This window comes from Homo sapiens, chromosome 6 (assembly GCF_000001405.40).
Source record: "Homo sapiens chromosome 6, GRCh38.p14 Primary Assembly".
In the NCBI taxonomy this organism is placed as follows: domain Eukaryota; kingdom Metazoa; phylum Chordata; class Mammalia; order Primates; family Hominidae; genus Homo; species Homo sapiens.
The window spans coordinates 129,853,715-129,866,439 of NC_000006.12; the positions used below are offsets into that span (position 1 = coordinate 129,853,715).

The 12,725-nt window shown below is 36.2% G+C and overlaps 1 protein-coding gene and 1 long non-coding RNA gene across 2 annotated transcripts in view, besides 1 other annotated feature; one reads left to right on the plus strand and one right to left on the minus strand.

Annotated features, from left to right (window-relative positions):
- TMEM244 (transmembrane protein 244) overlaps positions 1–7,601 on the minus strand; it is a 30,072-nt gene extending 22,471 nt beyond the window's left edge. Inside the window, exon 1 of the mRNA NM_001010876.2 lies at positions 7,442–7,601. Within this exon, the coding sequence (NP_001010876.1) occupies positions 7,442–7,474 (33 nt within the window). The 5' untranslated portion in view covers positions 7,475–7,601. The remainder of the gene's footprint in view (positions 1–7,441) is intronic.
- LOC105377999 (uncharacterized) overlaps positions 1,914–12,725 on the plus strand; it is a 92,281-nt gene continuing 81,469 nt past the window's right edge. Inside the window, exons 1-2 of the long non-coding RNA XR_942986.3 lie at positions 1,914–1,998; positions 5,616–5,711. This is a non-coding gene — a long non-coding RNA (uncharacterized LOC105377999). The remainder of the gene's footprint in view (positions 1,999–5,615; positions 5,712–12,725) is intronic.
- Positions 9,910–10,204: a silencer, noted in NCBI's record as "tiled region #9310; K562 Repressive non-DNase unmatched - State 23:Low". NCBI's record gives its function as "represses a minimal TATA promoter and a strong SV40 promoter by Sharpr-MPRA in K562 cells {active_cell/tissue: K562}" and the evidence as "EXISTENCE:reporter gene assay evidence [ECO:0000049][PMID:27701403]".

The following is a 12,725-nucleotide window of genomic DNA, read 5'->3' on the forward strand; positions in this document are numbered from 1 at the left end:
AGAGGAAAGTGCTACTGATTTGCGCTTTTAGAATCTCCCAAAAGCATGAGCACTATCTTTGCTAGGGCTAGGCTGGAACCTGGATAGAATATGAGCATGTGCACGTGGCATCCCTAAGGATTCAGAGCTTAAGTGGAGCCTGAGTACTTCAGCAGTGTAACTCACTTAACTAACTTGCCAATTTCTACACTGGCTTGACGGGGCATAATTCAAAACGGGAAAGCTCAGGTTCATTCCACTCTCCTGGAGTTGAAAGCCACCTCTCTTCATTCAGCTCTTGAGTTTTTCTTGTTGTCGCATTTAACAACACCCTAGTGGGATGTCTTCTAGATATCGTTTTATGGTTCTGCAAGTAATTGCTAAAAGATACAAGGTCTACTTTTTCTATGCTACTTACCTCATTTTATTTAAGAAGGGACTGGGAGGAAGAGATGTGTCCATTTGGCTCCCTAATATATGTGTAGTGTCTGGTGTGGTTCCTGGCACACAGTAGGTATTCAAAGAATATAAGTTGTTGGATGATTCATTACAGTTTTAGAATTAATAGAAGGCTGGCCCTACCGGACATTCTGGTTATTAAAGGAGAATCAGTTATGATTGGTCAGAGTCCAGGCCACACTGAACAGTACCCCAGATAAAAGCAATCTTTGCTGCACAGTGAGAGAGTCACCAATCAGGAGATAATTATCAAGTGTTGACATTCTGCCCAAAACTGTTTCAGACTTCCTGGGGATAAAAAGGAAGAGGTAAGAAGAGACAAAATAATCACACAGAAAATAATTAGAACAAGCAAGTATACCCAACAGTTATATGACTCTTTACTGTGTACTTGTCTAGATGAGCTCACTCATCCAAATAAACATGTGGGTTAGTCACCTCTTACAGATGAAAAAACAGAGGCCCAGAGAAATTAAGTGATTTTCACAAAGCTAGTCACTGAAAGAGGTACAATTGTATATAAAATGTATTGAATCCTGGTCAGAAAGTAAGCTTTGTGGTTCTGATTACAGCTGGTCCCTGACTTACCATGGTTCAATTTAACAATGTTTCAAATTTACAACAGGTTTATTGGGACATAATCCCACTGTAAGTCAAGGAGCATCCATAATTGCTAAAAGTAATTGCAAAACTACCTCAAAGAAAAGGGATAAGCTAGGTTTCATGAAGATCTAGGCTCTTAGGAACAATCATAATGGTCCATACTCTTCATATTCAATATCTGCTCACATACATGGCCTTTAAGTGGTTCACAAAGGTTATTATTCTTAACCCTGGTAACTGCATTTTAAGAAACCTCTCAGGTGATTACAATGCAAATAGCTACTGGGGATATAGGAACTGGTCTAGGTGACAAACAGAAACCTAGGCCTGTCCTAGTATTTCCCCTCAGGCAGGATTTCCACATGGGACAGCCACAGGTCTGGGTTCCTGAGCAAAATGGGCAAGAGACAAATTTCCAATTAAAACGAGCAAATATAATCTTTTACTTCACTAACAATAAAGAAACACATACCCAAACTTCATAGACACTATTGTTCTATCAAGTTAGCGAAGATAGTTTTTCTTTTTTTAAAAATGAATTACTTGTTCTGGTGAATGAAATGCACACCGTTCTAGACAGCCTTGCTAAAGATGACGGGGTATAGTGTCAAGCTAATGTGACATTATAACACTTTTATTTCTCAATGACAGAAAGTGAAGACAAAATTTCCAAAGAACTTAGTAAGTATTTTCCCCAAATTCTCACAGGCAGGAACAACGACATTCTCCTATAATTCAAAACTATTACTACACACAATAAATCCTACACGGATATAAAATATCATTGACATAGAGTTTATATTCAGATTTCCTCTATTGTTCTCAAAATCTGAGAATTCTAGAATCAATCATATTTTCACATGTTACATTTGGTTGTCATGGCTCTTTAGTAACCTACTCTGAATTTGTCTGATGGTTTCCTCATGATCAGATTCTTCGGAGAAGAACTCTACAAAGGTAATATTGTGCATTTCCCATTGTATCTTATGAGAAGATGCATAATATGACTTTCATTATTACTGATGGTCAGTTTGATCACTTGGTAAAGGTGATATCTACTAGATCTATTTTCATTGCACTGTTCATCGTTTGTAATTAATAAGTAATCTGTGGGGTGACACTTGAGACTATATAAATATCCTGTTCCCCCAAAATTTTTTAGCCATTCATTAACATATCTCATCTGAATCAATTATTTACATTGGTATTGTAAACTGATGGTTTTATTATTTATTTTTTCTTCTACATTTCAGTAGATATTCTTCCATAAAGAGATTTCCTTTCTTACCCTTGAACTTACCTATTAATTTATGTATTTATTATTTATTCATTTATTTTTTATAACCTATGGTCTTTTTTATTTTCTGAGTGCCATAATTAATTAACATCATGATTCCTGTTGATGCTCAAATTATCCCAAGTTTGACCAATTTGAGCACCTACCAGATACTGCCTGTGTTCTTTTTACATATCCCCATCATTTTTGTACTTCCTTGCTTTATGACATTCCAATGGGATACTGTCTTTTTCATTACTACATTTTCATATACACTTTTGTCTATTTGTGAGCTTTCTATTTGCTTCCATTGAGCTATCTACTCATGAATCAATACCACACTGTTTTAATTATAGAAGCTTTATAGTATGTTTTAATATCTGGCAGGCATTTGTTAAAAGGATAGAGCTTGCATTAAGTATTCTTAGCACACATGCATGCACACACAGGAAACTATCAAAGAAACACAAGGAAACTTTATAATGTTTACTAGGAAACTTGTGGAGGTGATAAATAAGTCTATCTTAATTACAGTGATGGTTTCACAGGTGTTGCAAATGTTCAAATGTATAAACTTGTAAATATTAAATAAGTGCACTTTTTGTATATTAATTTATTCCTCAATAAAGCTGCTTTAAAAATATCTAGTAAGGCTAGTCATCTCTCCTTTTTCTTTTCTTTAAGGTTCTCATAGCTATTTTTATTTTTTCATATAAACTTCAAAATCTACTTGACTAGCTCCATAAAAACAACTTTGTTATTTTTATTGAGATTATGCCAAACTTATTAAGATGGGAATAAATGATAGCTTTATTATGTTTATGAGTACCATTCAAAAATGAGAAAAATTTCCAAACTTATTCAAGTCCACTTTTGTATCTTTCAGGAGTATGTTAATTTTTTAATCATATAGTGTTAATATATGATTAACAGAAGTGTTAATCATATAGATTTTACACACTTCCTGTTAAGCTTATGATTAAATAAATTCTTTTTGCTACTAATACAACTGAAGTTTCCTCTTCCATTACATTATCTAACTAGCTATTGTTTGTGTGTAGAAAGGCTTCTGATTTTTGTATTTTAATAGTCTATTACCTTACTAATTTTTAAAATTGTTTGTGTTAGTATTTTCATTGATTGTTTTGGATTTTCCAGATACACTACAATATCACCTGTAAATAGAGATAGTTTTACTTCTATTTTAATTCTCATGACTCTTTTGTTTATTCTGATCTGATTGAATGGAATAGTATCTCTAACATATATATTTTATATGTGTGTATACACACACACACACACACACACACATATATATATACATATATAAATTATTTTTTTTGAGATGGAGTCTCGCTCTGTCACCCAGACTGGAGTGCAATGGTGAGATCTCAGCTCACCACAACCTCCGTCTCCTGGGTTTAAGCAATTCTCCTGCCTCAGCCTCCCAAGTAGCTGGGATTACAGGCACATGCCACCACCACGCCTGGCTAATTTTTTGTATTTTTAGTAGAGAGGGGGTTTTGTCATGTTGGCCAGGCTGTTCTGGAACTCCTGACCTCAGGTGATCCACCCGCCTTGGCCTCCCAAAGTGTTGGGATAATAGGCATGAGACACTGCACCCAACCCTAACATATGTTTAGATAGTAGTGGAGTTAGTGGACATTCTTGCCTTGTTCTTGGCCTTTCTGTAAATGCCTCTAGTATTCTCCATTAAGTAATACACCAGCTTTAGGATTGTAATGTGTGTGTGTATGTGTGGTTTTTTATATATATATATACACACATATATATATGTGTATATATATGTACATATATATGTATATATATATATCTGATCAGACAAAATCATTAGTTCTTATTTTATTCAGTATTTTAAATCAGGAGTGGTTCAGGAACGGTTGCCAATTTTTGTCAAAGGCAGTTTTAGCGTCTATGAAGATGAGTGAAGATGGTCATATGATTTTCTGCTTAGATATATGAACATCTAAATTATGTTAGTAGATTACCTAATATTGAACCATCCGTACATTTTTGGAATAAATGTCACTTGGTCATGATGTTTTATTTTTATGACGAGTTCTTGGGTTCTGTTTGCTAATATGTTTAGATTTTTCTGTATTCATAAGTGAGATTGATCTATAGTTTATTTTTTGTACTATATTTATATGGTTTAGGTGACAACATATTTCTTGTTTCATAAAACTTTCTTGTGGCTTTTCTTGTTTTTCTATACTCAAATGATTTAAGTAGCATTGGGAGTATATGATCTTTGAAGACTTAGGAGAATTCTTTTGTGAAATCTAGGCCTAGTCCTTCTGTAATAGCCTTCTCCATTTAGTCTATGGAAACTGGAAGCCCTTGTGTGATTTTGCAAAGCAGAATGTTCCCATTGCCTACAGTAGCTTCACTCTTCTTTACAGAGCAAGTAGCTATATTCTCTAGGTCTGGCTCATATATCATCTTCTCACTCCACCCCTCACTGCAGGACAGAATCAATCTCTATCTTATTTTAATTGCTTCCATAATATTATATTTGTCTTATAGATCTCATCAAATTTGTATTGTAGCATACCTACTTTTGGAGGTATACATTTCTTTCTCCAGTCTCTAAAAGACAGACACTGATTTGACCACATTTAATTCTTCAGCCCCCAAAATATTGGTCAGGCTTTCATAGGTATTCAATAAATATATTTTGAATAATAATCATGGAAGGAAGGAAAGAAATAATGGAAGACAAGACCACTATAGTAGGAACCATAGTCTTTTTTTTTTTTGAAACAGAGTCTTGCTCTGTCACCCAGGCTGGAGTACAGTGACACAATCTCAGCTCACTGTAACCTCTGCCTCCCGGCTTCAAGGAATTCTCTTGCCTCAGCCTCCCTGAGTAGCTGGGACTACAGGTGTGCACCACCACACCCAGCTAATTTTTGTATTTTTAGTAGAGATGGGGTTTCACCATGTTTACCAGGCTGGTATCGAACTCCTGACCTAAAGTGATCGTCCGGTTTGGCCTCCTAAAGTGCTGGGATTACAGGCATGAGCCACCACGCCTGGCCGGAACCATAGTCTATTAATAAAGTATGTGGACTCTAAGTCAGATCCACTGGAGTTTCTCCCCCAGTTCATCACTGACAAGTGTGTGACATTGGCTGGTTACTTTCTGAGTTTTGTTCTACTCATCTACAGGTAAAGTTTCATAAGGGATTTGTATTCTGAACATGTATACAATTCTTAACATTAAGTACTGTATGTTCCCAATAGATAATACTTTCTCTCTTACTTCTCCCCATAGGAAAGACTGCATTGTAGTTCTTTGGACAATTCCTGGAGAAATCATGAGATATGACTCTCTCACTTGTAGAATCACAGCAAAGGCTCCGTCCTACTGGTAAGTAGTTCCCTCTGAAATTGCCTGAATGAATGAAATTCTCCAGTTCAGGTGAACAACTCTGAGGATATGCAGGAATGTGTTGTGCTTCTGAGATTTTTACAACATTTGTTTTACAGAGGAAAGTTTACATTAGTTTAACATAGTTAGGAAACATGCCGTCTACTGGAGTAGAATACATTGTATTCTGAACAGTTTAGCAGTCCTCATACTTGGGCTTTCTTCCCAGTTCTTGTGCTATTTTCCCAGACAGCAAATTAATTAAATGGCCTTTGGCCATGACTCTTTCCCTTGAGTCAGCTTTTCTGTCATTTAAAGTGTACAGATAGGGGGGATTTAATTAGCCCAATGCCTGGCACATTGCATGCACTCAATAAATGTTTGTTGAGTATTCGAGTTATCTCTAGATGAAGGTCACTTTTGCTATTACTATTAATTTATAAGCATATCAGTAATTCTTGTGCTGATAATATTGACAGTGAACAAGCACTTAAAAGAAAAGTTAACTCATAACTTATAGGGATGTATCATGAGAATTCAGATAGTCAACAACCTATCTATTTTGAACATATTCACTATTCTTCTAATGTTCTAAGGCTCTAATTCTACACTTGAAGCTCAGATGATTCTAAGATAGTGAGGAACTGCAGCAACTATCTGGATATTTTCTCTGCAATGCGTGTGTGTGTGTGTGTGTGTGTGTGTGTGTGTGTGTGTGTGTGTCTGTCTGTCTGGTCTGTGTAAGCCCCGACTAAATATAGAGCCCCCATTCTTTGTGTAAGCTACTTAAGAGAAAGGATTTTATCTTCTAATTTTTATCTCTTCAGCAGAAGTTATTATTGCTAGTTCAATCCCAAATCTATACATAAATTACGAAGTTTAATAACCCCTTAAAAATAAGCTTTTTAAAAATATTTTTCCTGAAATAATGTTTTACTGACCTTGAAAATTTTTCTTAGCTGTTGTCATGCTCAACATTTCTCACTGATGACATATGTGGTGATGATGGTAGTGTAAAGAAAAAGCTTGAGGAAATACACACGGTGCTGATATTTTACTAAAATGAATGTAGCACTCACTCATAATTGTAATTTAATTTTTAAGTAAAAATCTGATTTTCCACTATCATTCCCTTAAGTCTGGCTCATTATAGGCCTAAAGCCTGTATGAATTTACACAGCTGCTTTGAGGCTTTGCATATTTCCTTGTTTTCGATTGTTTGATTTTTTTTTAAAGGGGTATTTTTGCACTGAAGTAAAACACAACTATTAACACTAGCCTCGGGGGAAAAAGAAACTAACAAACCTACAGCTTGAAATGTTTCAACACTTTGCATTTAAAATTTTGCGCACCCTTTAGAAGTTACAAAAATAAAAGCCACTCCCTGCAAAAAAAAAAAAGAAAAAAAGATTGAGAACAAACTGTCATGATTTCAGAAAACGATAGCAGACGTGCAGGTGCTAATACCAGAGAGCTTACCTCCGAATAAAATGGTGCCTTCTAAACAGCGACTATTTACATGTTTTAGAATCCTTTCTTGGGCATGGGTGCCTTTATATTGCCCTATTACCACAAGATGCAAGCCGTGCAGCAGAATGTTTTCTGTATGGTACCCAGCCAAAAGTGAAACAAGTTGCCCACTGACAGAGAGGCCATTTATAGAACATATTCATTTACACCAGTGCTAGGCAGCAACTGAAAGGCAATGCAAAGAAGTAATTTCTCTTTACCTTGCTTGGAGCAACTCTGACCTGGAGAGCCATGTACACATCCTACGTCAAGGAGGTGATGAAAGCCCCACTCCTTATAGCGATGACATCTGGAAGAAGACACAATTGTCACCGTGAGCTTTTCAATTACTCCTGGAGACTAAGTGTGAGACGCAGTAGTGCAGGATGATTGGATTACGCAAAACGAGACAGATGCCATCTGTGAGCCACGCGTAAGCTGCTAAGTGCCAAAATGAACATCCTTATTAAACGATGGAGTTCTCATACCATTTGTAGTTTGGTCAGATTTGAAAGATGAGTTGATTGTTTTTAGATAGTGCGGCAAATAGGCAGGGACTTGGAATCCTCTCTGGCTGTATGAGTAATTACTGTCTCATACTTAAATTAGAAACATGGGTTTTCAGTTAGGTCTTGAGATTGTTTCCAAAGGATGCTGCTGCATTCATGTTGAAGCGTGGCCTGTCCTCTCTGTTTCACTCACAAGGGCCACAGAGTTCTGAGAAAGAAATCATCAGTTCCTTTCACATCATGGCAAAGAAATGTAAAACTTATGACTTTTTGTTAGGAAACAAAAGGGTTCCCATACTCTAAAATAATGGCCACAATATTGTGGGTAGAATGTTTTCAAGAACTGCCAGGAGGCAGTATTGGAGCTCTGTCTCTCTGCGTCCTGAGGCTCCAGAACCAATCCTTCATTTACAATTCATTCTCCCATCTTTTTACTGGCACCAACTCTATTATTATTTTTATTTTAATTTTTAATTGCTGTGATTACATAGTAATATAGTAATATACCCCATAGAGTTTATGGGGTACATGATATATTTTGATATAGGCATCTAATATGTAATGATCACATCAAGGTAAGTGGGATTTCCATCACCTCAAGCATTTATTCTTTGTGTTACAAGCAATCCAATTATACCCTTTTAGTTATTTTTAAATGTACAATTAAATTATTATTGACTATAGTCACTCTGTTGTGCTATCAAATACTAGATCTTATACATTCTCTCTCTTTTTTGTATGCATTAACCATCCCCACACTCCCCCTTTTCTCCCACTACCCTTCCCAGCTTCTGGTAACCATTCTTTTACTTTCCATCTCAATGAGTTCAATTGTTTCCATTTTTAGTTCCCACAAATAAGTAGGAACATATGAAGTTTGTCTTTCTGTGCCTGGTTTATTTCACTTAACATAAGGACCTCCAGTTCCATCCATATTGTTGCAAATGACAGGATTTCATTCTTTCCTTTGGCTGAATTCTATTCTGTACCTGTACCACATTTCTTTATCCACTTGTCTGTTGATGGACATTTAGGTTGTTTCTTAATCTTGGATATTGTGAAACATGCTGCAATATACATGGGCATGCAGATACCTCTCCGATAGACTGATTTCCATTCTTTGGGGTATATGCTCAGCAGTGGGATTGCTGGATCATATGGCAGTCCTATTTTTCTCTTTTGAGGAACCTCCAAACTGTTCTCCATAGTGGCTGTACTAATTTACATTCCCACCAGCAGTGTATGAGGGTGTCCTTTTCTTCACATCCTCACCAGCATTTGTTATTGCCTGTTTTGGGATAAAAGCCATTTTAACTGGGGTGAAGTCATATCTCTTTGTAGTTTTGATTTGCCTTTCTCTGATGATCGATGATGTTGAGCACTTCTCACATACCAGTTTGCCATTTGTATGTCTTGTTCTGAGAAATGTCTATTCAGATATTTTGATCATTTTTAAATCATATTATTAGATTTTTTCCTCTACAGTTGTTTGAGCTCCTTATATATTCTGGTTGTTAGCCCCTTGTCAGATGGGTAGTGTTTGAGTATTTTTTTTCCCATTCTGCGGGTTGGTGTCTTCACTTTGTTGATTGATTGCTTTGCTGTGGCACCAACTTTAGATGGGAACTTAGCTGTGCCCTGTAATCCTTTTTCCATTACAGCATCTTGTTAACCGCTATAAAGAGCACATTCTGCAATATCTACCTGCATACCAAAAGCAAAGGTGAAAAGAGTGCCTTCAGCAAGTCCAGGCCTTGATAGTTTTCATCTGAATATGTTATTGAATTTGACATTCATAATGCATATTAATAACACTGTCAATGCTCTTTTATTAATATACCTTAGATAAATCTTTTAATGTGTGGTTGCCCTGTTCTCTGCTTATATTGTGAGTTCTTGCAGAAAAAGACTTTTCTGCCTGCTGGTAACATTGTAACAGCTCCCAGTGTTGTCTTCAGATTTCAGCACACGGTGGACCCTCAGTAAATGCTGATTGTCCAAATCCCATGCCCTGCCCTATTTGTAACAGTGATGACCCAGAATTTCTCCTTAAAGAGGGCAGGCGGAGGCCAGGTGTGGTGGCTCATGCCTGTAATCCTCGCACTTTGGGAGTCAGAGGCAGACGGATCACAAGGTCAGGATTTCGAGACCAGCCTGGCCAACATAGTGAAACCCCGTCTTTACTAAAAATACAAAAAATTAGCTGGGCATGGTGGCGGGCACCTGTAATCCCAGCTACTCAGGAGGCTTAGGCAGGAGAATCGTTTAAACCAGAAGGCAGAGGTTGCAGCGAGCCGAGATCGCGCCATTGCACTCCAGCCCTGGCAACAATGAGGGAATCCGTCTCAAAAAAAAAGGGGGGCAAGTGGAACTTCCTGGGAGTCATAGCACAGCATAAAGCAGAGGATTTGTGCCTGACTCACTCTACTCCCAACACAGGCTGCTTTGTGCACAACTCAGATGCCTTCTGAGTTACTCAGGTAAACAATAACCACCCAAAAACTATCCTCTCAGGAAGTTGGCACCATACATTGGGAACTAATACTCCAGCACTCTATTGGATAAAATACTGAAAAGTACTAATTTTCTATAATTACATTGGAAAAAAATTTGATGACCAATAGTCTAATGAGTAGAGATTATGTGTGTATGGGTATTTACATCTATAATAAGCATCTTTTTTTTTTTTCATCAGAGACACCGCACTGGATTTAAGCATTATTTTTTGAACTGCTACTGTGATCTATTGCGAGAATAAGGCATGAGGCATACACATACACATTTAGCAACTACAATTCTGATTTCCAAGTCTGTCATTAGGCTGATGAAATATTTACATGTGTACATTTTATATGTATATGTGTGTGTATATATATATATTGTGTGTACATGTATTCATTCAGCACATACTTATGATAAAGAATAAAATACATAAAACTCTTCACATTCTTTAGTTCTGAATTGTTCTCCTTGATATTTCATCATGTTTTAAATTATTTTCAGTCCCTTTGTGTAATTTGTATCTAGAGTTCTCCTTTGTTTGTTAAAATTGGACTCAGCTACTTCCTTCATGATAGAGGCACAAAAACTTCAAGGTCCTAAAGAAATATTTCCAAGATTGTAGCACATAATTTAGAATTTCTCCTTGATAAAATCAAAGGAGAAAATGAGCTCAGATCCACAATTACTAATTGCAAATCGTTAGGGCCAGATAGGCTTCTAATTTCAGAAAATTTTGAATTTTATTTAAATAATAGGATCCATATAGTATATTATATCCCATGTCCAAGTAGTCTAGAACTTCCCTCTGTATCCAAACATTGTTTGAGCAGCAAAATGTATAAATATTTGCCATGAGTGGGATGAATAAAAACTAAATAATTTTGTCAATTTGGTTTCATCACCAAATTCATTAACGTCTGGTACTATTCTGTCACCCAAGGATAATAAATAATAAAATAGTTTCCACAGATTTTTAGATTTTTGGATTCACAAAAGGAGTAGTGGACAAACACAGATTTAATTATAAGAATCTACAGATTGGCATTGATAATAGAACTCTTGCTAAATTAAATTAAATTTGGCCTAAAGCAGCCTCTGCACATTAAAAAACTGCAGCCTAACTTAAGAGCATATTCTTATAACAAGTTGCTGAGCCTCGGCCAATCACAGCAGCTGAGCTTTGGCCAATCACAGACTGCCAACCAATTAGAGCGTGTCTATATCAGGCAAATACTAAGCTGTAGCCAATCAAGCTGTTTCTGTATGTCATTTCCTTTTCCTATCTAATACTGCCTCCCCGTGTTGGGTGGAACTCTCTGAACCTCTCCTGGTTCTGAGGGCTGCCCAATACATGAATTAGTCTTTCCTCAAATAAACTCTCCTAAATTTAATTTGTCTAAAGTTTTTCATTTAAAACTGTAAATACAATTTTAAATGATGTGGTAAAAATAAAGACGCTGTGTTGACAAAGTCAATTTGTCCACAAGAAATTAAAAAGTAAAATTTCTTTGCCCTCAGTGCCAGAATGAAATAAGAGATTTCCCCTGATGCCTTCTGCTCCATTATAGTTGGCTTTGCTTTGGAAGTCTGATGGTGTTATATTTTTAGTTTTACTGATTCTCTCTAACCCATTTCTTCCCTTTAGGCCCTTCTATCCACATCTATTGTTCACTGCCTTTTTGAAATTGAATTATTCTATAGGATATCATGAAATCATAAAAATATTAAGAACAAACAGACTCTATTTTATTTCAGGGAGCCATGAAAATAATGGTCAAAATTGGGGTAATTTTTTTTTTCTGTTTACAGCCTTTATGGAATTTCCTTTAGGTTTAGGCCCATGTTAAGGCAAAGATACATGTATACACACGAGCACACACTGATTTCACTGCTTCATATTTGTTGAATAGTAAATTGTGTCTTGAAAGATAAGGCACAATAAGGAGCAGTGCCCTATATGGTAATGAATGGCACAACATCATAAAACAGTTGGCATGGATGACTAGTTATGAATATCCAAACTGTTATTAGATAGTAGTTTCCATACTCCCTCCCATAAACCTAAACCAGGGTTACCAATGACTGCAAATCTGGACACTTGAGTTTTGGTATCTAATTTTACCTACTTTTAAGCCAGTTGACCATGTGCTGCATCTTATCATAGGTAGTACAGAGTAAAGGATCATCTTTAAGAGGATATAGAAAATATCTGGAGATATACATTGTATCAACTTGAATTAATATTGGGAAAGAAATATACAAGTTAGAGCAATTCAATACAGTCATCACAGAGTAAAAATAAATACGAAAGATAAAGTTAGAGCCCTAATTCAAAGAATATGAATTGTATCTTCAATAGGAAGAGAAAATAGAGTGGAAAGAAGGAGAGAGAGGGCATCTGGATAAGATAAATACGAAGTACAAAGGAAGTGAGAACAAGTCAATGAGATCTGCTTTGCTAGAGAATGAGAAATAAGACTAATGCAGGATTGGA